This window comes from Homo sapiens, chromosome 11, assembly GCF_000001405.40.
Source record: "Homo sapiens chromosome 11, GRCh38.p14 Primary Assembly".
NCBI classification, from domain to species: Eukaryota; Metazoa; Chordata; class Mammalia; order Primates; family Hominidae; genus Homo; species Homo sapiens.
The window spans coordinates 69,100,315-69,124,016 of NC_000011.10; the positions used below are offsets into that span (position 1 = coordinate 69,100,315).

A 23,702-nucleotide genomic window follows, 5' to 3' on the forward strand; every position below is an offset into this window, starting at 1 on the left:
CTGGGAGCCCTCCGGGGCTGGAAGAGGCAGGAAGGACCCTCCTCTAGAGCCCTCGGTGGGAGCACAGCCCTGCCAATGCCCTGATTTCTGACCCCCGGAACTGTGGGAGAAGAAACCTCTGCTGTTCTGAGCTCCGGGTTGGTGGTGATTTGTTGTGGCAGACAGGAGAACAGTGCAGCCCCCGAATTGTGCTCATTAGCAGCCACTTCCCGGTGCCAAGCTCTGCAAGACCTCACATCGCGACCTCCAGGCAGCCAAGGCCACATGGGGCAAGTGCAACGATTTCATGCTTCTGCGCCCTGCTGTTTCTCCATGCAGCGGCCCAGGGGTGCTTCTGGAACACATCTAGGCCTGAGCCCCTGGGTTCCGGGAGCCTGTGGAGAGCTTGCAGCTTGGGGCTGTCCCCAGGGCCCCTCTCTCTCAGTTTTGTTTGGAGCGGTGGCCTCGAATGCTGCCCGAGCCTGGGCTGGGGGTACCACCTGGGCAGAGGGATGCCCTGTGACCTCTCAAGGGGCTGCGGCATCTGGGAACAACCTGCCCTGGGCCCAGGGTTGGGGGGTCCATGGGACAGGCATGGTGGGGTGGTGCTGGTGCAAAGCTGCCTGCCCAAGTGGGGAGTGCTCCAGCCGCATGGGGCATCAGTCACCTTGGGTATTGCTCCAGGAGCAGGCAGTCTGGGAGACCTCAGAGGAGGCCTGCTGGCTGGTCCACTGGTTTGTCAATCACTGGCAGGGCAGAGAGTGATGAGCTGGGCTTGGAGGGGACACAGTCTTGGATATGAGCCCAGCTCTGTGGGCACAGGCACTGTGGCCCCTTCTCCACTGGCCTCAGGTTCCTGGTGTGTGAGATGAGGTGGAAGTGAGCAGAGGGGGCTCCTGGCAGGGCTGCGAGCCTCCTACCTCTGGGTCCCACATCGGTGCTGGGTCCCAATGCCCACCTTGTCTCAGGGGTGACGTCATCACCTTTTGAAGAAGCCCCAGATGGTGTTGAATAGCGATCGCCACCCCCAGTGTGCACCAGGGAAGGAGCATCGTAGACCTAGCAGATGAGGGCAGGCATGACTGAGCCCGTCCCAGCTGGGCCTGGGTACCGGAGGCTTGTAACCTACAAGATGCCCTCAGAGCATAATTTGCATACAGGTGAGGGCCTGCGACAGAGGCCCTGCATGTCCAGAGGCATGGCCAGGTAGAGTAGGTAGGCAGGCTAGACACACCTGGAGATGCTGCCCTGGGCACACGCAGTTCCTGGGTAAGCCAGCGGAGGGCAGCAGAGCCTAGCGGCAGGCGACCCAGTGCCCAGGCCCTGGTACCCTCCTTGCCTCGCTCAGCACCAGGCCTGGGAAGGCAGGGGGAGTCCCCTCCTGGCAGGAGCTCCTCCTCCTCCTGGCAGCCTTCCTGGGCCTGTGCTGGGAACCTTACAACCCTTGCCTAAGAGACCCTAGGGGAATCTGTGTGGTGGCAGTGACAACCAACACTTGTTAGATTCTAGCCAGGAGAGAGGGTAGCGTGCTTTTAGTGGGGAGAGGGTGTGATGAGGTGGGCTGCTGGCTCCCACCACCAGGCCAGCCGGCCACCTGGAGTGCAGGGTACTGATGGGGCCCTCTCTGGCTGTGGGGTTCCCGCTGGGTGGGGCTGGAGCATCCCCTGGGTCTGTCCACCTGCCAGCCACTGTGGGGACACTCAGACTCCCTTCTCCCCGGGTGGGCCACGTCAGTGCCCCCGGGCATGTGAGGTGCTCAAAAGACCCTGCGCTTCTGTGGGTATGCGACTCATTCCACCTCATTTCCCCAGAAATCCGGGTCTCCAGGAGGCTCTTGCAGTCACCCCTTGCTGGTGAGTGCGCTTAGGGAAAGGCCATTTTCAGCCTTCACTGGGGCAAAGAAAAGAGGCTCTGTGTCTGGGGATGCAGTGGGCCACTGGTGAGGGGGGTCACGCTTTGCAGACAGGGCCAAAGTCCCAGAAGGGGAAATAGGTTGGGAGCTGTCAGAGGCCAAGTTGGACAGCTCCACCTTTCCCCCCGCACTGCACAGCCCCTTCTCCTGGAAGTGGACAGGGCAGGGAGGACTGAGAGGGGAAACTGAGGCCCAGACATCCAGGCAATTGCTGAGGTCACCCCAATGTCTGTTCCTTGAGTGCAGCAGTGGCTTGGGCCCCGGGTGCCCTGCCTGTCCATCAGCTCTGCCCACGCCCCCTCCCTGCTTTTTCTCCTTGGCATAGCCCACCCAGCCTCTGGCACAGCCCTGGAAAAATGGTCAAGGAAAACTCTGGGTGCTGGGCCAGCATCAGAGCAGAGCCTGGGGGACCCTGGACCTCCGTCGGTGGCCACAGCGGGAACACTGTGTGGAAGTGTGCTGTGCATACTCATGCATCCTCACTTCTGACTTACAGAGGAGGGAGCTGGGGCTCAGAACATCCTGGAACACGCCTGCCCCTGAGTACACCTGGGCTGGCTGCCTCCAGAAACCAGGGTGGTGTTGGCCACTCTGACAGGCAAAAGGGATTGCATTTGTTTTGGGAACTGTCTGAGGTTAGAAGTCACCCAGTGAAGACAGGAGAACACGGGTGGGGGATATTGCCTCAGTCTGAGTGCCCAAAGGTGGCGGTATTAGCTCAGCTGTGGGGACAGGCGGTGCACAGCCTGTGCTCTGGCCAGGAGGAAGGGGTGCATCAGGGGCTCTGTGGCTGGAGGCAAGGAGACCTCTCAGTAGAGCTGGGAAGGAGGAGTGGGGGCCCTCCTCCCTTGAGAGGTGGCAGGTGGGCAACGATGGCCATGGCTGGGCTGGAGGGAAACTGCTGACCCACGTCACTCGAGCGGGACATGAGACTGGCCCAGGCAGAAGGGCCTGAGACCCCAGGACCCTCATCAAACGTTCACCGGCTCCTTGGGGTTTGATGAAGGGTTCGCAGGCCCGGCAGTGTGCCCCCTCTGGGAGGCAGTCTTGCCTGGCTCATCTACCTCTGGCATTTGTTTCAGTTGCCAAGAATGTGTTTGGCGGCGCCAGGGCCGATGGTCCCACTTTCCACCTGGCAAGTAGTCCTGCCGTATAACTGAAAGGCAGCGACTCCACATGACCATGGGGCAGGCAGGATGGCGAGCTCTGCTCCATCCTGCATGGGGGCAGTGGCCCCGGGAGGCGGACTCCGGGCTGGACGGGAGACATGGGGGAAAAGTGAATCTGGTAGAGGTTACAGAGGGGCCACCCACTTGGCTGGGGCAAGCAGGAATGCTTTCCAGAGAGGCCACACTTCCAGGCTGTGGGGACCCGAGCACAGGGGTGGCGAGTTCTGGCATTTATTATTATTATTTGTTCCAGAACAAAATTCAACTCCCATCCTCAGTTGGCCAATAATGTGGTAGGAACAGGTGGGAGCTGACCCCCAGATGCAGGGTGCTGGGTGCTGTGCTGATTTTCTGGGGCTGCTGTGCAAAGTACCACAGCCTGAGTGGCTTTAGACCATGGAGATGTGCTGTGTTGCAGTTCTGGAGGCCAGAAGTCCCAGGTGCAGGTGCCAGCAGGACTGGGCACCCTCTGAAGGCCCTAGGGAAGCGTCCCTCCTTGCTGCTCCTGGCTTTTTGCGGCTCTGGTGTTCCTTGGCTTGTGGCTGCATCGTTCCAGTCTCTGTCTCCCCCTTCATGTGTCTTCTCCCCTGTGTGTCTGTGTCCACATTTCTCTCTACTTATAAGGACACCGATTGTATTGGATTCAGGGCCTTCCCTGCTCCAGTATAACCTCAACTTATTACATCTGCAGAAACCCTATTTCCAAGTAAAGTCACATCTGAGATTCCAAGTGGATGTGAATTTTAGGAGCACCTGATTCTACCTTTCCAGGTGTTTTCTCTCTCACAAGCATTCACGAGCAGGCAGCTTTTTGATTTTTACGGTGAGGGGCGGAACCCAGCATTGCTTTGAATGGCCGCATGCTAGGCATTGGGAGGGGTGAAGGCCAGAGAGTGGGGTGCAGGTATCAGGAATGAAGGGATGGGGGCCAGGGAGGCTCTAGCATCCAGTCTTCCTTCTGATCCCAGCCTTGCCATTTGCAGCTGTTTGGTGTTTGGGCAAATTATTGGACCTGCCTGAACTTTAGTTTCCACATCTGTAAAATGGGCCCGTTATTTCTCTGCACTGCACTGGCATCAGTTGCTGGTTCTCTGTAGCGAATGGAGATGACAGAGTCGGTTTGTACAGGGCCAGGAATGGTGTCCTCAGAAATGTTCCGGGGGTGGCCCCAGCTTCTCCTCCACCCGCTGGCTGCACAGACTCCTTGTGCCTTGGGTGCCTCATCTGCAGAACGGGAATAACCACAGTTCCTGCCCTGTTGGCTTAAGGCGAGGACAGGTGGGAGATGGGCCCAAAGCCCTCCCAGGTGCCTGGCCCGGGGCCAGCCTTCGATGCAGATCAGCCTCCGTGCAAGTCAGCTCTGGGGCTCAGGCATCTGGAGATGGTCGGGGAGGCTCTTGCAGATCTTTCTTCTTTCCCCCGAGACCCTGGCTCCACTGTGAGTTTTGTTGGCATTATTGGAGGGCGGTGGGGAGTGAGTGGCGGCGAGATGGACCTGGTAGCGATGACAGTTGCCAGCCACATCTCCAAGGTGGACTTGGTCCCAGCCTGGCAGCACAGGTGAAGCTGGGAGTGGTGCGTGCAGGGCTCTCTGAGTAAGCGGCATCCCAGAGCCTTCCTCTTGGACACTGACCGATGGGACATCGGGCCACGCAGCGTCCACACGCAAGCACTTGCCACCAAGTGTGTCTGCAGCGAGAAGATGCCAGGGGCTTGTGTGGCAGTGGAGCTGTCAGCGCCCACCTGCTGGGTCGAAAGCACCTGTCTCTGCCCAGAAGGGAGGGTCCCGTGGTGGGTGAATGAAGGTTGGGTTGGTTTCACAGACCCCCGTCGTGCCCACTTTGCCTGTCTCTCTGTCTAGACTGAGGCCACGTCAGCTGGCAGGGCCTGTGAGCCCTCTGGCCTTACATTTCCTTGGTCTGGGCCTCTCTGTGTCACATGGCGAATGATCCCTGAGCAACAGTGCCACGTCCTTGGGGAGCTTCGGTTTGAAGGGGCCCCTCCATGGATCTTTTGTAACGTGAGCCATTGCCCCGTGGGTTGGGGTTTCCATGGATTGGTGGGGCACACCGCACCTGTGGTCAGCCCCCACCCCCATCTTTGAGTCTGGGTAAGACAACTCTGGCCTTGCCCGGCCCGGGGTGCCCCCACAGCTCATTCACCTGGCACAGAGAGGCAGTGAGCAAACCAAGAAAGGCACTTTTGATCTGGGGACGGCTGGCACGTTTGCCAAGAGCCCCCAGACAGCCCTGCCTGGCTCGAGCCCAAGACAGCTTCTCAAAGGGCAGTTCCTTTGAGAGAGACTGTTGGGAAACACCTTTGAAAAATGGCTTTGTGCAGCCGGCCTGGAGGGCTGTGGACCGAGCCCCAGGGCTCCTCCTTGGCCACCAGCCTGGGTCCCAGGACGCAGGGCCATATGGCAGGTTTAGAAATTAAGCCAGGCCCTGACATTCCTGTGTGCAGCTCCGGAGGCCCCCTCCCCGCCCCGTGCCTGCAGCCCACTCCCTACCTCTGCCAGCCCGGGGCTCAGCGCCTGCCCTGTGCTTGGGGTGGGGTGAGGAGCTGGGCTTCCACGCCAGCCGACTGGGAAGCTTCTCCAAGTGGTGAAACCCAAGGGAAAGCCGTGGAGTCTTTCCCCGCTGCCACCCGCCTTGGTTTAGTGATGCTCTGCTGGGCCACGTATCCTGCTCTCAGAGTTCAGAAGGGACTTAATCTATTTTTGTCCTGTTCAGCCAGGATGATTATCTTTAATAAGGCCATCTTGAACGTTTCCTTGTCAGCTCGTTTTAAGGAAATGTTTGCGCATTAAGCATTTTCCCACAGCGGTAAGACAATGTGCTGTCCCTTGCCAAAGATCACATTTGCCATCCTCGGCGTTCCTGCCTCTGGACGGTGAGCCTGGAGGCTGGCCAGCCCATTGCTGCCAGGGGCCCTCCATTGATCACTATCAGGATGTGATTGATTAATATCATGGAGGAGGAGGCCTGCGCTTGGCTGGCCCGGAGCTCCCTGCTGCCGAGGGGCTCTGTGGGCAGGGTCCATGACCACTGGCAGTGGGGAGGGGCAGCAGCGAGGTGGTGCATGGGCTCCGGCAGGTGGCCTGAGTGATGGGCTGAGCTTGGCCGTAGCCGTGTGAACCGGCCGCCCGGCCCTGCCCCCAGCTCTTTGAAGCACTTCCAGTTTGCCCAGCTGGGTACGTCCAGTGCAGCCCTTTACATTTCCAGTTTGTCCAGATCCACAAAGCAAAACCAAACTTTCCAGGTCCCCTGAGGCCTGCTGGCCCTGGCTCCCAGGCCCGGCTGCCCAGTGAGGCGCTGTGGGAAGGTGCCTCTGGGTGATTCTCTGAGCCCGTGGGCAGGGGACGGAGGGAGCTTGTCCCAGCCTCCTGTCCTTGGTGAACTGCTCCAGTGGGGACAGGCCTCCCTCCACCATCTTCCCACTCAGGGCTACCCAGAGGCCAGGCTCCCAGGGCCCAGCCCTCACCTGCTGAGTGACCAGGGCAGGGGACAGCATCTGTATCTGGCTGTGTGGGGGCCCAGCCACAGAAAGGCAGGTGGGACAGCAAATGGCAGAGTTTGGGGTTTTCAGAGGCCACAGCTTCTGGGGAGAGGAGGATCCCTGAGCATGAATGGTTGCAACAGGATGTGGGGAGGGAAGAGGAAGAACTGGTCCAGACAGAGAAGGAGTAAGGAGGGCCCAGGGCAGTGGGCAATGCTGTGTCTGCTCCATATCCAAGAGGTGGTGCTGGGGCTGATGCCTGCGGAGAGGTGGGCAGCCCAGGGACTGCCTGGCCTGCTTGAGAAGCTAATGGCTGGATGGGTAGGGCCATCCAGTGAGGGTATTTTCTAAATTGGAAAGTCCCTGATTTTTTGGGAGCTGGAGAACTTTAAAGTGGGAAGGGCCTGTGGAGAACTTAGCATCAGGTCCCCTGGTGTTGGGGAGGCTGAAACCTGGCATGGCAGGAGTGGCCCAGCCCGTGCTGCTGGGAGAGGACCAGTGGCTGCTGCACTAAGAGCTTACCTGGGGCAGGTCCACGGGTCTCTCACAGTGCAAACCCCATGGCCTGGAATGCAGTATTCATGCCAGAAACACTGAGAAAGGCTCTGCCATCCAGGGACTATGCTGTGAGGGTTTGCTGAGCACCAGGATTTTCTGAGCAGTGGGGTTTGCTAAGCACCTGGGTTTTGCTAAGCACCAGGGTTTGCTGAGCACTGGGGTTTGCTGAGCACCAGGGTTTGCTGAGCACCAGGATTTTCTAAGCAGTGGGGTTTGCTAAGCACCTGGGTTTTGCTGAGCACCAGGATTTTCTCAGCAGTGGGGTTTGCTAAGCACCTGGGTTTGCTGAGCACCAGGGTTTGCTGACTACCATACTGCCTTGGATGCCACAGTGAATGCAGGCACAGCCCCACCTGAATGTTGCTTCAGCCTCCTCTTATCCCAGCTCTGTGAGATGGGGCCCCCACACCCCAGGGTTGTCCAGAGTATCACACCTCAGGATTGTCCAGAGTATCACACCTGGTCACACCCTCCTCCTCATCTTGGGAGAAGCCTCTGTGACCCACCTGCTCATGCCCGTGTCCTGGGCTCGGTGTTGATGCTCCCACCCCACCCCATTGCAGTCATCAACAAAGTCCATTTGAACCTCCAAGCACATTTTTGGTCTGCCTCTCCTCATTCCCTCTCCCCTGTCCCAGCCCCGCCATCCAACACACCTGGAGGACTATAGTGGTCCCTGATGGTCCACCTGTTTCTCCACTGCTGACTTCTCTGCTCTGTCTTTGCACCCGCAGCAGCTATTGGATCATGTCCCTCCCCGTTGTGAAACTCAGCCATGGCCGTCCACAGCCCTCCACCCTGGTCCCCAGCCTGCGTGCACGAGCCCCTGCCCACTGTGAGCCTGCCACCCCTGCCATGTCACTGGCCAGCACTACACCTCCCAGCCTCAGGGCCTTTGTCCAGGATGTTTGGATTGGGCTGAATGATGACCCCCTTAACGTATGTCCAAATCCTAACCTAGAACCTGTGGGTGTGACCTTTTTGGAAAGAAGGGTCTTTGCAGGTGAAATTAAGGTAAGGGATGAGATCATCCTGGATTATCTGTGTGGGCTCAAAATCCAATGCCAGGTGTCTCATGAGAGAAGAGGTGAAGACACGGAGAGGAGGAGGAGGATGCACGAAGACAGAGGCAGAGACTGGAGTGATGTGGCCACAGTCAAGGAACACCTGGAGCCCCCAGGAGCTGGAAGTGTCAGGAAGGACCCTCCTCTAGCACTTTCAGAGGGAGGGCGGCCTTGCTGACACCTGGGTCTTGGGCTTCGGGTCCCCAGAACTGAGAAAATAAGTCTGTGTTGTTCTGAGCCACCCAGTTTGGGATGGTTTGTTACAGCAGCTGCAGGAGACTTGTACACATTTGTTCTGCCGACACGCTTTTCTCATTCTCACACGCCTTTCAGGTCTCAGACCCACTCCCTGGGGGAGGAGCTCCTTGGTGCCCATCCAAGCACCTGCCCCTGCCCCTTTGGGAGCCCCACCACAGTCTATGATCATGCATTTATTGATCACTTATTAACTTATTTATTGGCTAATTACACATTTGTTGACTATTGAAAATGCGAACTATGTCTGGTTTACCTTTGAATCCCAGCATCTGTGAAGAGCCGGCTCCTGCTATTATTATTGTTAATCAGTATTAGTATTAGCATTAAATGAATGAACAGGTACCTCCTCATTCATTCATTTATCCATTCAATTACCATTTATTGAATGCTGCTGGGTGCCAGGGGCTGGGGATATGGCTGTGAACAAGACAGACCCAAGTGCCTGCCTTGGTGGGCTCTTCTAGTCAGAGTGGCCAGGAGAAGCAGACCAAGTGTCTGGTGCATCAGGCAGTGGTGAGCTCCAGTGGAGATTTAGCCTGGGCCAGGGCAGGCCTGGCTGATGAAGGAACACACATCCAAGGAAAGGGAGGCAGGGATCCCAGTGGAGACCTCAGGACAGAGCAGCACATGCCAAGGCCCTGAGGTGGGGCATGCTGAGCTCCTCGAGGTTCCCTGAAGGGGCCTTGTGTGGAGCAGAGGAGCTCCTGGCGGTTTGAGTGGAGGAAGGATGAGATCCAATGTACTCTGTTAAGGCTCGCCCTGAGTCCTGATGGCTGGGATGTCCATGGCCTTTGAGCTGTGCAGTGGAGAAGTGAGAAGTGAGGATCTGCAGGGGTGGCTCCAGGCATTTTTGAGTCTGCAAGGGAGACAACTGATCACTTTAATCAGGCACTGCAAACTCTTTAGATCAAGAGCTGGGAGATGTGGCCATTTTCTTGCTCACTCTGAGGTGGGAGATAGCTGAGGTGTTGACCAAGATCAAGACAGGGCAGCACCACCGTTTGCCATGCTCTGCCTTTAGGCATCTCCCACCTGGCTGCCTTGAAGAACACTTGCTCCCTTCAGAGTTGCAAATCAATCAATTGATAAATCAATCAATACATCAATCCTCATGTTACTTTGTTAATCATCTCCTGTATCAGTCACAGCACTGGCATCTGGCACACATTATCAAATTTAATCCTTCCTACTTTCCCTTATGAGGCCCTTTATACAGATGAGGAAACCGAGGCTCAGAGAGGAAAGTCTGTGGCTTCAGGGTCATCAGCTAGGAAGTGGCCAACTCTGGCACAGACCTCAGGCCTGTGTGAGGCTGAGTTCAGTGTGTCCTGGCATGGAAGAGAGAGAAGTTGGCAGATGCAGTGCCCTAGCATCTACTTGGAGGAAGAGGTTGGGATCCTTGGGAGAGAGGGCTTCTGGAAGTGCAAGTGTTCTAGGAGAGAACTGTGTGAGCAGTGCACAGTGCTGGAAAACATGGGGCCAAGAGGTTGGCCTGGTGGGGTTCTCTGTCTCTGAGGCTACGACTGGGGGACACAGCCAGTGGGGTCCCTGACTGAGACCTTTGTAGAGTTCTAGGGAGAGAAAGGCAGGAAATACAAATTATTCTACCAAGACAGTTGTCTTTCTGGGGTATGACCAGTTTTCTCCACCCACCATCCATCCATCCATCCATCCATCCATCCATCCATCTAAATATCCATCCATTCATCCATCCATCCATCCATCCATCTGTCCATCTAAACATCCATCCATCCATCCATCCGTCCGTCTGCCCGTCCGTCCATCCATCCATCCAAACATCCATCCATCCATCCATCCAAACATCCATCCATTCATCCATCCATCCATCCAAACATCCATCTATTCATCCAAACATCCATCCATCCATCTAAACATCCATCTATTCATCCATCCATTCATTCATCCAAACATCGATCCATCCATCCATTCATCCATCCAAACATCCACCCGTCCATCCAAACATTCATCCAAACATCCATCCATCCATCCATCCATCCATCCATCCATCCATCCATCTAAACATTTATCCATCCATCCAAACATCCATCCATCCAACCATTCAAACACCCATCCATCCAACCATCCAAACACCCATCTATTCATCCATCCATTCATCCATCCATCCATCCAAACATCTGTCCATCCATCCATCCATCCATCCATCCATCCGTCTGTCCATCCATCCATCCATCCATCCATCCATCCATCCATCCATCCATCCATACATCCATCCATCCATCCATCCATCCATCCATCCATCCATCCATCCATCCATCCATCCATCCAAACATTCCCCAAATATCTATCCAAACTCCCTACTTCCCTCTTTGTAGTCTATGACAAACATTCTTGTTGGTACTGGGGATACAGGATGGATCCTAGTTCCTGCTCTCAGGAGGCTGGGAAGCTCTGAAGAAATGATTATGCAAATCTACTAGAATTGTGAGGACCACCAGGAAGGAAGGTACAGCACTCACTAAGAGTGTATAACCAGGCCCCCCTCACCTGGTGCTCAGAGTGGGCTTCTCTGGCAAGTGAGCTGAGATGAATTGGATGAGCCAGAGTGACCTGGTCGGGAGCAGAGAAGCGCAGTCCCAGTGGGAGGAACAGAATGTGCAAAGCGTCTGAAGAAGGAAGGGCTTGTTGAAGTGGGAAGACTGGTGTCTGTAGGGGTGGGTGGGGAAAATGAAGAGGCTGTGGAGGAGGCGGGGGGCTCAGGCACTGGGTCGGGGGGCCATACTCTGATGATGCTGACAGACTCAGGGTCAGGTGATCACTCTGGGGTGTGAACTCAATGTGGCCCCCTTCCAATTCTGTTTTGCAGTCTCTGCTTTCTCAGAAGGTTACTCCAAAAGGGGACCACAAGGTCAAGATGGGCATGGGGAGGCTTTGGATGCCGAAGCAGTTTTATTTTGGCAAGTCAGCCGAAGGAGCACGTGCGCCTAAAATTAGGCAAGAGTGTGAGCTGCACACAAGTTCACACGCTCAAAACTCCTGTGGGCAGGGCCTGCGCAGCTCTCCTCTGTCTGTTAATGGTACAGTCTGTTCAGACCTTTGGAACATTCCTCAGCTTTTATTTAATGTAGGAAGAATCATTTCTGGAATTAGCATATAAATTGGCAGAAGTCAGCAGCTCTAGCAGAAGTCACTCTCTGTGTCAGGACAGGAGAGCGAAGGCCTGTGCATGGATGGGAGGTCCACTCCCACTCCCCTGGCGCCCTCCTTTCCCCTTCAAGGGGCATTTACATGGTTCATTTAAAACACTCCAGCCTTCTTCCCAAAATGTGCAACTTGGGAAAGAATCTGTGTCCCTTCAGCTCTGGCTGCAAGGGGAGAGGGGTCGTGGCCAGGGACGGGGTGCTGAGGAGAGCATGGGAAGCCTTTCTGACCAAATGGCTTGCTTCGGGAAAATTTTCCCACAGGAGTGGCCCCATGGCCTGCCTCCCAGCACAAGGTTATTGAAAGGGAACACAGAGAAATGTTCACTGCCCTAAGCTGTCTTGTCTGGTCTGGTCGGGGGCAGATATTTTACACATTTTATAGCCCTATTAGTTTTAGGTCTTTTGGATAGGGGTGACCAGTTGATCATTAACTGTTTGCTACGTGTGGCATTCCGAATTCTGGCCCCAGATAGCTCAGCCCAGCGTGCTGATTCCGCCTGGCCATTGGGCCATGGCTGGGTGGGCCGCCGCCTTCCCCAGCGGGTGGGGCGAATTCTCCTGATGCCAGGGCTGGGGCCCATGTGGAGGCCTCCCTGGCTCCCTCAGGCTCTGGTGTGAACACTTCATTATCCTTTCTGGGAGTTCAATCCCCTTGTGAACCCTTCACCATGGTGTCTTCACAAGACTGTGGGCGTCTGCCCTAAAAAGGCACCAATGATTTGATTCTGACATTCCTACTTTGGTGTGTTTCCCCCAGAATAAAATAGCAATCAGGCTGAGCGCGGTGGCTCATGCCTGTAATCCCAGCACTTTGGAAGGCTGAGTTGGGCGGATCACGAGGTCCGGAGATCGAGACCATCCTGGCTAATATGGTGAAACCCTATCTCTACTAAAAATACAAAAAATTAGCCAGGTGTTATGGGCGCCTATAGTCCCAGCTACTCAGGAGGCTGAGGCAGAAGAATCGCTTGAACTCGGGAGGCGGAGGTTGCAGTGAGCCGAGATCGCGGCACTGCACTCCAGCCTGGGCAACAGAGCGAGACTCCTCCCCACCCCCCCAGCAAAAACAGCAATAAAACAGGGGCTCTCTCTACGTCCTGGACAACCATGGGGTCTGGGTGTCCTCTTCTCCACCTTTCGGCCTCCAGGCCTGGCCAGGACACTGTCCTGTCCTCGTTGTAAGACTTGCATTTTTGACGTTCTCTACCTACAAAAGGTTCGTGCCAAAGTGCAGCTTTTGGTCGGGTTGGGAATCCTCAGGCGGCTTCTTGGACAGGAGGGTTGGGCAGGTCGATGGGGTGGGAGTTGGGGAGCAGCCACACTCATGAATAGATTCTCGTTTTGCACTAATCAGATTTTCTAGCAGAGCTTCCAGAAATGTCGTTCTCTTGCAGAATCAAAGGCAATTGCAAGGCATTAAAAACCAATGTGCCTTCAGTGTGTGGGCTCCCGGTCTCACCCCCAGCTGGTTCATGTTGCCGCCCAGTCCCGTCTCAGACCTCCTTAGGCCGCCTGTTCTCCCTCCCCGCCCTCAGCTCAGTGCCATCTCCCCTCCCGGCAACTCCCTGTTCTAACTCCTCTCATTCTGGGACACGTGGCCTCTGGTGGGCACTTCCAAATGGTCAGTGTTGTCACTCACCCTGGGCTTAGAACTGTCTATGGCTCTTCAGGATTCAATCTAAGAGAAAAGCCCCAACCCCTGGTTTGAGCCTAGAATGCCCAGCGAAGCCCGGCCCCTCCTTTCCCCACACCTTCACTCAGGGCAGCCTCGAGAACGTCCTGCAGCTGCCTGGACATGGCACCGCTGTCTCTCTCTGTGCGTGTCCACTGCTGTTCCCTCTGCTGTCTCTCTCTGTGCGTGTCCACTGCTGTTCCCTCTGCTGTCCCCTCGTCCCCACCTGGCCAACCTGCCCCACCCCGACGCCCCTCTTCAGGAGGCCTCCCCTGTCCCTGTCTCTGGGCTCTAGTGCTGCATTCATCACGTTATTCCCTTTCCATGAGTCTCATTTCCTCCTGGGTCTCCTTCCACCTCCATGCATTCTGGGGCCAGAGGCAGCTCTGAGCACTGTGGCCGAGGGATAGACGGACCAGTATGTGGGGAGGTGGGTGAGGGGTGTGCAGTTTTATAGCTCAGCCCAGAACATAGGCGGTGGAGCCAGATGGACCTGGGCTCGAGCCCAGCCCTCGCAGCTGTGTGATCTGAACAAGTTACCTAACCTTTCTGAGCCCGGTTTTTTCATGTTAGCAAACAGGCTGTGCGACAGCCCTTCTGGAAGGTCAGGGAGGCTGTGGCCCAGCTCTCGCTCGGAAGTGCTCAGTGATGGGTTTGGAATATTGTGGGGACCGAGGGGTAGGGATGTTTTCCCTGACTGCGTGAGGATGACCCTGGTGTGTGGAGCAAAAAGGCAAGCTGGCCCCCGGGCGTAGGGGCTGGGGGTGCCACAGGGAGGTGCTTTTATGCTCATGCCTTCCAGAATGGGAGAGCCCCAGGCCTCACCCAGGAAAGAGAAGGACCTGTGCCAGGTGCCGGCTTCATGTCCAGCTCTGCCACCCTCTTTCGTAGGGATCCAGGGCCCCATTGTTCACATGGGGGTGGCCTCTAGGCTCCTGATGATCTCTTGGGAGCTGCCCTTGGTGATGCCGAGCTGCCTACAGGGGTCCTTCTGGGGCCTGAGGCCAGGTGGTCACTGGGCCCCTGCCCCTCGGCCCCTTTGTGAACCCAGCAAAACCTGCACCTTTGGCGCATGACCTCCAGCTCCTTGGGAACCTATGGCTGCTCTTCCAGAAGTCCCTCTACCTGGCAATGGGCCCTCCACCGAGAACTCCTGGTGCTGAGATGGACGGATCATGATTTCCTTCTGTCTGCACCAGGCTTTGCTTAGGAGAGAAAATGCCAGAAACAAAAAGGCTTTTCTCACTCTCAGCCTTAACATAGGATTTATTATGAATAAATGAAACTCCCTTGCAGGGCAGTTGCTCTGCGACCAGCGTGGCCTAGGAAGGCTCAGCTCCAAGTGATCAGCTCTGTCCTACAGAGACTGAAGCTTGGAGCAGCTGGTGACAGGACCACGGGCACGTAGCCTGGATTGGGAGAAGTTGGGAGTGGCGATCACTAGTGTTTGCGGAGCACTTGCTAGGAGGCCTGAGCCAAGGATGTTATCTTATTGATGTACGTTATCTTATTTAATCAGAGCCTGCCAAACATCCCAGTCTGCCCCAAAGTCCCGGGCGACACCTGTCGCCCTGGCGTCATCATTAATAACCCCCGGAAGGTGAAAACTCTCAGAGTGCCCTTGTGGAGCTGAGAAGGAGCACGGTTTCACTGTGCTTAGTCCTCTGTCGAGCCCTCTGGAATATCCCTATGATGTGGATGAACAAGCTGTGGGTCAGGGGGATGGAGGGACTTGCCCAGGGTCACCAGCTCGGAGGCAGGGTTGGATTCCAGGATTTATAATCTCAGAGGTGGGATTTAAAGCCACGACCCTCTAATCCTTCCCAAGCAACAGAAGGCACGGAGTGTGTTCGCGGTGTCAGGGAGGGTGGTGGGAAGGCAGGGGCGGAGGTCCCTTCGGAGGCCTGACCTTCCCAGGACCCCTCACCAGCGGTCAGCAGCCGGGGTCCCGGGAAGAATTCTGCCGAGAGAGAGCTTTTTCCCCTTCAAGGAATAAAAAGCACACACACACATTCCTCCGAATCAAAGGTGTGTCCAGAGAGAGGGAGGGCAAGGCCCCTTGACCAGCAGCTGCCAGCAGCCTGGGCACATGACAGCCCCTGAAGGCTGCTGGCACCGACTCTGGCCAGGCATTTGCAGTGGACGGCGGTGCCAGGACAGGGAGGGCGGCCTTTCACCAGCTTGGCACCTCTGCCATGTGACGGCCGCCTCCCCTGGGGGAGGGCGGGGCCGCTCCTCTCCCAGCAGGCGGGTGCAGCCCCAGGGGTGCTGCAGGCCACTGCGGGACCTTCAGCGTCCGGCTCCCGGCACTGGCCTCTGTGCCCTGGCCGTTCCTGGGGTGGGGCATGGGTCAGGAACTCGCACTCTCACTCTCGGGAGATAGGAACTCAGTCCCATTCATAACCCCACCGTGTAACCTGGAAGGCACTTTGCAGTTTACAAAGGCCGTCATAGCCAGGGTCCTTGAAGGAGGCGTGTCACCGTCCACTCTCCAGAGAGCAGCCTGCGGCCTGGGAGGTGGGCTTCGCCTCCTCGACGTCACATGTTGGGGGCTGTTTCCTCGTTGACTTCCAGTGCAGGGCTGTGATCTGGAGTCCAGGCCTTGCTGGCCGGGACCCCCAGGACAAGGGTGGCCGTGACATATGTTCTGGCGCCTTCAGTACTAGTGAAAGAAACGAGCCGGCCGTGTCAGCTGGGAGATTTCTTGCGGCTGCCGTAACAAAAGATCACAAACTGGTGGGGGCTGGAAACCACAGAAATGCCTTCTCTCCCAGTGCTGGGGCCGAAGCCCGATATCTAGATGTAGGCAGGGCTGCGCTCCCTCCGACTGCTCCAGGGAGGGACCCCGGCCTCTGTCTGCCCTGGTGCCTCCAGGTGCCCTGTGGCTTGTGGCTGCCCCGCTCCAGTCTCCGCCTTGTTTTCATGTGGCCCCCATCTCTTCTCCCTGTGTCTCTCCTCTGAGCCTTCAGGAGGAGGCTGGTCATTGGATTTTGGGTTCTCCAGGATGATCTCACCTCAAGGTCCTTAATTGCATCTGCAGATGCCTGTTTCCAAATAGGGCCACATTTGGTTAGGACGTGGACACGTCTTTCGAAGCCACCATGCAGGCCGCTACAGGAGGTTTCATGAATTCATCTCAATTTCCAGAGGACCTGGTGTTGCTTGGCCGGCCCCCTCCAGCAGTGACTGGAGGTTGCTGAGTAGCAGAAGCTTTAGGTGGGGCAGGCCCTCACCTGTCTGCCACAGCGAACCCCACCCCTGACCCCCGACCCTGCCTGGGACCCCTGACCTGGTCTTCCCAGTCCATTTCACAGCCAGGTAAACTGAGGTAGCTCAGGGTGAGTTATTGCCAGGCCTGGGCTGCCCAGGGCACCCGGCCCACGGGGCAAACCCCAACACAGCCCTCAGTTTACCAATTCTCGTCACATGGAAGCCACCTGGGGGCTTCCCAGGGTGTTCTGTCTGCCCCCCTGTCCCCAAGGGTACCTTGTGTCAGGTTGGGATGACTCAGAATAATCAAATATGGCCACGTCTTTTGGGATGAGCAGCCATTTATCGTTTATCCTGGGGATCAGAGTTTTTTCCTCTGTAAAGCTGAATAATGTCGCCTGGTATAGCCCTAGGTAGTGTTACTTTGAAGGCTGAGAGAGAGAATGTGAAAGCGTTTTGGAGCCTGAAGAATACAGAAGGGAGAGACGTGGTGAGCATCAGGGTAGTGCAGTGTTATCTTCCTGAGCTGTACGGGGAGCGTGGTTAGGACAGGAGGGACAGACCGTGGTGAGCATCAGGGACAGTGCAGCGTCCCCTCCTGAACTGTACGGAAAGTGTCCTTAGAAACTTCAGGAACTCCTTCCGTGGAGTTTCCCTGTTCTTTGCATCCATCCTGTGCTCAGCCCTGAGCGAGGCGCTGGGGAAGGGGAGCGAGAAGGGCCTCTGTCTCTGTCCCTCTGGGCGTTACATGACTCCAGGAGTTGGGTATTGAACGTCACAGGCATGGCTGCCCCGGGCTGCCCGAGCGGCTGGACATAGGTGGTGGGTGTGTGGGGCACGAAGGGTGCCTGGCTCAGGCTTCTGGGGACAGCTGAGTGCAGGAGCTGGGGCAGCAGTGAGTCTAGGATGGAGGATGCTTTGTGGGGAGACCACAGGGAAGACCATCTGAGGAAGAGATCCTGTGTGACTGGTCACCCACAGAGAGATGGTGGTGAGACCTCAGCATGGCTGGCTCAGAGCCCCTTCCTGAAATGGCCTGGCATCACGGTGATACAGGAACAGAAATTCGGAGCAAGGGGAGGACTACCATGCCTCTCTTCTGCACTCTTGGGGGCAAGGCCAGAGCAGGAATTGGGTGTGGTGGGGGCTACTGAGCTTGGGTCCTATGTTCACTTTCTCCTTCCATTTATTTATTTATTTATTTATTTATTTATTTATTTATTTATGAGACAGGGTCTGGCGTTGTTACCCAGGTTGGAATGCAGTGGTGCAATCATGGCTCACTGCAGCCTCGACCTCCGAGGCCCAAGTGATCCTCCTACCTCAGCCTCCCAAGTAGCTGGGACTACTGCTATAGTATAGTCCAGTGCCTAGACTGTACTAGTACTATAGGCACATGCCACCACCTCTGGCTGATTTTTGTATTTTTTGTAGAGATTGGGTTTCACCATGTAGCCCAGGCTGGTATCAAACTCCTGGGCTCAAGTGATCTGCCCGCCTTGGCCTACCAAAGCCCTGGGACTACAGACATAAGTCACTGCATCTGGCCTAATTACTTATTTTTTTGGGGATGGGTCTTGCTCTGTCACTCAGGCTGGAGTGCAGTGGCAGCATCATAGCTTAAGCAATGATTTTGTCACTGCACTCCAGCCTGGCAAACCTCAAACTCCTGGGCTCAAGTGAGCCTCCTGCCTCAGCTGCCTGAGTAGGTGGGACTACAGGCATGAGCCACCACATCTGGCTAATTAAAACAATTTTTTTGTTTTTGCTGGAGACAAGGTCTTGCTGTGTGGCCCAGGTTGGTCTCAAACTCCTGGCCTCAAGTGATCCTCTGAACTCAGACTCTTCAGTAGCTGGGATTACAGGCGTGAGCCACTGGGCCTACTTCCTTTCCCTTTAGACTCAAAAATCCAGTGTAGGAGCTTTGTGGTCCATTGAGTAGGCTGCATTGCCTAGCCTCCCTGTTGCTGGAGAAGTGTATCAGCTAGCTTTTGCAGTGTAACAAACCACCTCAAAACATTGTGGCTTAAAACAGCGAGGGTTCATTATTTCTCCAGGTTCTGTGAGTTGGCTAAGCAAGATTTCTGATCCGGGCTGGCCTGGCTGTGGCTGGATGGTTGGGGATGGCCTCTCTCCCATGTTGGGGGCCTCTGCTGGGACAGCGATGCTCTCCCTATGTGCTCATTCATCCTCAGGAGATCAGCCCGGCCTTGCTCATGTGCTGGCGGGAGGTCCCGGTACCGACATAGCAGCCTGCATGCACAAAAGCTTTTCCAGCCTCTGCTTGCATCCTGTTTGCTTCGTCCCTTTGGACAAAGCAAGTCACAGGCCAAGTCCAGATTCAGGGGTGGAGAAATAAACTTCATCTCCTGGTGGGAGGAGTGACATTGTCAAACAGTCATATGAGGGAGTGTGAATAAATTAGGGGTCATTACTGTCATGCTCTACCACTGAGTGTGTGACTCAGTTCTGGCCAATGAGATGTGAGCAGCGTGGGTCTTCTAGGAAGTCTCCTTCCAGGGAATTAGGCACACCTCCTTTCTCCCTTCCACATTCCTTGCTGCTTGGAATGTGGATGTGATGGCTGGAGCTCTTGCAGCCATCTTAGACTATGAGGTTGAGAGCCACACCCTGGGAGTGGTGAATTAGTTGGAAGGAAGCTTGGTTCCTGTTGACTTCTTGGTGCCTTAGACTGCCTATCCCTGGACTTCTTTTACATGATAGGAAATTTACGTGGGGTCAAATTTCATCCTGACTGATACATTTGGCAAAGACTCTTGTCTCTCAGAACGTGAGGATTTGGGTGGCCTCTCCCCAAAGTTAAGTGGATGGACTTAACACACATGAGGAGGGCAGCTCAGGTGCTTCTCAGGGGCCTGGATACCAACCATGGGTTTCTTGGGAGAGATACTCTGGAGGAACCTCTGGAGTTAGGGCACTAGGGACAAACTGGCTTTGAAGGCCTGAGATCCAGATGGGGAGAGTGGCAGCCAGTACCACTGTGCCCAGCACTGGCCTCACCCCTGTAATCCCACCACCAGCCCCTGTAGTAGCTCTGTCACTATTTTACGGGTGGAGTAGCCAAGGGGTAAAGTGACTTTTGCATAAGGCTGTGCGACCCAATGTGGAATGAAGATTCCAACCCGCAAATGACCTCAGGACCCTGACTCTGAGCCGAGACTGAAGCAGCCCATTCATTCATTCACTCACACACTCATCCATTCATTCAGCACTTTCTGAACACCTTCCATGAGCCAAGCACACCTCACAGTGCTGGGGCACCGCAGGGGACAGAACAGACCAAGTCCTATCCTTGTGGCTTGCATTCTCATGGGATCAGAGACTCAGCCCCCTGGGGAAGCAGGGTGGGGAGAGAGGGCAGCCTTGCTGGGGAGGTCTGGGGGTCTCCTTGGAGTAGCATGTCTGAATGGAAGCCACGGCTGGCTTCGCACCGCGGCTGCAGCATGTTAGCTGGGTAACCTCAGGCAGGGTCCACATTGCGCTTCAGTTTCCTCACCTGTAGAACGTGGCCGTCGACCTCCTGCTGGTGGGGCTGGTGTGAGGAGGTGGGGTACCCCACGCTCACAGCAGCATGCAGGGGCTGCTCCTCTGCGAGGACTTGGTGGCTCTATTTGTCCCTCCTAGAGACCTCCAGTCTTGGTCTGGCTCTCTCTTTAGCATGGAGCAGGAGATGAGGAGGTGGCCCTGACTACATCACTGTTGCTTTCCCAGGGTCCTGCTGATGCCTGCTGGCTGGGACGAGAGGGGGGTGCGGTCAGAAAGGGCCTGGTGCCATGTGGCAAACAGGTCGGGTGCACAGGTCACGTGTGAGAGTCCAGCCGCAATAGCGGCTCAGGATCCAGCAAATGGGCTTGGGCCCTTTGCTGCAGAGCTCTTGGGTCAGGTGGTCACACGCTCCTGTGTGCTAGGTCCCTGACATGCCAGGTGCAGGTGGGGGGTGCCCGTCTGCAGTCACGAAGGCTGGAATTCAATCCTGGCTGGGACCCTCACCGGGCAAGTGCTTAGCTGGGCACTCACCAGGCACCCAAAAGTGACCACTGCTATAATCATGGCAGCAATAAGTGTGACATACTCCAAGGTGTTATAATTTAAGGAACTTTCTTATGTGAGCCACACATATACTTGCCCACATGCACACACAGGCACAACACATCTATACAAACATGCACACACACATACATGCTTCTGCACACCAACACACATGTACATGCTTCTGCACACAACACACACAGATACATGTTTCTGCACACCCACACACACGTACCTGCCTGGGCATGCATGCACACACGTACATGTTTCTGCACACCCACACACACGTACCTGCCTGGGCATGCATGCACACAGGCACACAGCACGTACCCATAAGACTCAAGCATGCACACGCCCCTGTGTGCCTTTGGTCTCAGCCTTGAGCTTCACTTACCAAATGTGCAGGGGGCAAAGCCACGCACAGGCTGAGGGCGCCGAGCTGCAGAAGGCCCTCCCAGGGAAGGAAGTGGCAGCAGCTGTTGGGTGCGTGTTATATCCATGCCAGGCTCCTGCTCAGGGCTCTCTGTAGATTTTCTTCCATAAAGAGAAGATTTTCTCATCCCCATCATACAGATGTGGGCATCTAGGAAGGGGTATGACCTGAGAGGCAGGAGGTGTCCTGCCTGGGAGTGGCTCCCCCAGGGCTGGGGTGGCTGTCATCAAGCCCAGCTGACTACCTCCCCTGGGATTTTTGGGTAGCTGGTGAAAGGTTGGCTGGACCACTCTGTATCATTGAGGCTCGGAATTGGTGGTTTTGGTCGGGGGGGAGGGCCGTGGGAGCCAGGCAGAGGTGCTGGAGAGAGGGAGACAGTGCTACCCTGCACGGGGGTCCTGGGAGCAGTGGAACGTTATTCAATGCAAGTCATCCAGAGCCTAGGCCTTTGGGACCGCCTGCCCCCACCATGACCCTGGGGTGCCCAGTGAGGGGCAGGGGGCAAGGTGGGCCTGAGAACAGGAGTGGAGGCAGCTGGCGGAGGGCAGCTCGGAGGGAGTCAAGCCCCTGCCCATCTGTCTCAGCCCGATCCCCAGGGACTCTGGGGAGGCCCCTGGTGGAGTGTACTGCTCCGAGGGCAGTGGGAGGCATTGCTTGGAGAATTAAAGAAGAGCGTGATCCCAAGTGGCCGAGAACTTGGAGTGAAGAGCAGTGTGCTCAGGACCCATGTGGAAAGTGGATCCCGGCTCAGCCATCCTTCCCCACCCCAAGGAGCCTTTGGATCAGCCCTGCCCTCCCTGCAGCTGCACCCGCACGTGTCTTCCCAGGCTCTGAGGGGCTCACAGGCGGGTTGGGGCGGAGGGTCCCATGCCCTCTGGGAGCCTGCTGGAGGCACTGCACTGCAGAGGGCATGAACCTGCAGATTCTGGCCTTGCCACATCCTCAGAGTGTGGCCGACGGCAAGCTGGCCTCTCCACATGCCAGTTTCTGCCTCCCTAACGTGGAGAGGGTACAGCACAGACAACAGATACCACGTGAAAAGCCCCTACCCAGTGCCTGGCACACAGCGGGTGCTTCGGTTCTTATCTCATTGGAACTGTACATGTGCCTGGGGTGGTAGGAATTCCTGTCCCTTTTCCAGGTGGGGCATCTGGGACTCAGACCCATAAGTGGCTTGCCCCAGGTCGCACGGCCAGTTTGAGGTAGGGCCCCATGTCTGCGTATATGATCCCATCGTGAGACAGCACCTCTGAGCAGCCAGCCTTCCGGGGCGGCTAGAATACTCTTCAAATCTACAAGGTTTCATTTATATCCAGGGACAGCCATGCCCAGGCAGCGCTTGGCCAAGAGAGAGCACTGTGCTGGGAGTCCAGAATCTTGGCCCCAAATCCCGGCAGGACCCAGGGCAAATGGCTTCCCTCCTGGCGAGTGCCTTTCCTCCTCTTGGGCACAGTTCCGATGTTACCTGGGCTGGGCCATGGAGAATGCCGCCCAAGGGCTGGTCCTGGGCCATTGTTTACCCTAGTTCTGCATGGAGGGTTTGACCTCACGCCCGGCTCCCCACCTGCCCGCCCTGCTGTGCGGCCTCCTCCCTGCCTCGGCTGACTCACAGCTCTGCTATGCGTCCTGCAAACATTCCGGAGCCCTCGCCCTGCAGCAGTGCTCTCTGCATTGGTGGATAATAGGGCAGCACTCTGTACCCAGAACGGGAGGCATTTGGGTCCCCTAAGAAGCATTTGTCATTCTGTCCCTGCCTCTGGGCTCCTCGCCTGTGATCTCAGAAACAGGGCTGGGTGTGTCTCTGCAGCCTTCCTGGGGAAGTTTTCTTTTAATCTGCTAGACCCATGGCGGGGGGGCGGGGGGAGGGGAGCCAGAACACTCTGATCTGTTCCTGCCAGCTCAGGGACCTCGGGCAAATCGAGTCAGCTCCCTGTGAGAGGCGGGAGTGGGCGGCATCAGTGGTTTGCAGAGACGTAGGTTGCAGAGCCAGTGAGCCGGTGACATCTTGCATGCAGCCTTGATCCAGGGAGTGAAGGAAGTGCTCAGGCTGGGTGTGAGGGCGGGGAGGGGGCTGGGGCAGAGCTGGCTTTTCTGTGCGCTCTGCGGAGACCTCTGAATCTCCTCTACCCGTGGTGGGGGAAGCCCCAGAGTTCCCTGCACCTTTGAGGTCTCTCCTCACGCCAGCGGGCTGCAGCCCACGGTAGCCCAGGGTCACATAGTGGGGCCCAGCTAGAGTTTGAACCCAGAACTTTGTGACCTTGCACCCTGCAAGCATTCCGCTTGACCATTAGGGTGGTCAGCACCTGTCCCTGCCGCCGAATGCCAGCTCTGTGAGGTTGAGGCCCCACCCACCACTGCACCCAACACTGAGCATGGTGGTGAGTGCGCGCCAGGTGCCCAAGAGTCCTTTGCTGAGTGGGCGACGGGTGGGGTCCTCCTACTTCCCCCTGCCCTCCCTCCTGGCCCTTGCAGGGGCTAAGTACCTTTGTACCCCTGGGTGCCCCCGCCACGACCCTCCCCGCTGGCCCACTTCCCCCTTCCCTGTTCTAGCCTTCAAGGTCTGCAGTCTCTGGTCTCACTTCTCTCCTCCCCTGGTTCCAGTAGACAGCGGCCAGAGGAGGCGCTCCTGGGGTTGGATTCACTGTTGGTTTTAGGAACTGAGAAAGGCCCCCAATCCCCGAGAAAATCCAGGGCAGAATGTGGCTGAGGAGCTGGAG

General features: G+C 56.5%; 6 annotated features.

Moving 5' to 3' along the window:
- Positions 1,831-2,331: an enhancer, noted in NCBI's record as "H3K4me1 hESC enhancer chr11:68869613-68870113 (GRCh37/hg19 assembly coordinates)". NCBI's record gives its function as "activates a minimal SCP1, AML or CMV promoter by ChIP-STARR-seq in naive H9 embryonic stem cells {active_cell/tissue: H9 hESC(naive)}" and the evidence as "EXISTENCE:reporter gene assay evidence [ECO:0000049][PMID:30033119]".
- Positions 20,081-20,709: an enhancer, noted in NCBI's record as "H3K4me1 hESC enhancer chr11:68887863-68888491 (GRCh37/hg19 assembly coordinates)". NCBI's record gives its function as "activates a minimal SCP1, AML or CMV promoter by ChIP-STARR-seq in naive H9 embryonic stem cells {active_cell/tissue: H9 hESC(naive)}" and the evidence as "EXISTENCE:reporter gene assay evidence [ECO:0000049][PMID:30033119]".
- Positions 22,467-22,761: an enhancer, noted in NCBI's record as "tiled region #9006; HepG2 Activating DNase unmatched - State 8:EnhW". NCBI's record gives its function as "activates a minimal TATA promoter and a strong SV40 promoter by Sharpr-MPRA in HepG2 cells {active_cell/tissue: HepG2}" and the evidence as "EXISTENCE:reporter gene assay evidence [ECO:0000049][PMID:27701403]".
- Positions 22,467-22,761: a silencer, noted in NCBI's record as "tiled region #9006; K562 Repressive non-DNase unmatched - State 20:ReprD". NCBI's record gives its function as "represses a minimal TATA promoter and a strong SV40 promoter by Sharpr-MPRA in K562 cells {active_cell/tissue: K562}" and the evidence as "EXISTENCE:reporter gene assay evidence [ECO:0000049][PMID:27701403]".
- Positions 22,467-23,296: a biological region, named in NCBI's record as "Sharpr-MPRA regulatory region 9006".
- Positions 22,481-23,296: an enhancer, noted in NCBI's record as "H3K27ac-H3K4me1 hESC enhancer chr11:68890263-68891078 (GRCh37/hg19 assembly coordinates)". NCBI's record gives its function as "activates a minimal SCP1, AML or CMV promoter by ChIP-STARR-seq in naive H9 embryonic stem cells {active_cell/tissue: H9 hESC(naive)}" and the evidence as "EXISTENCE:reporter gene assay evidence [ECO:0000049][PMID:30033119]".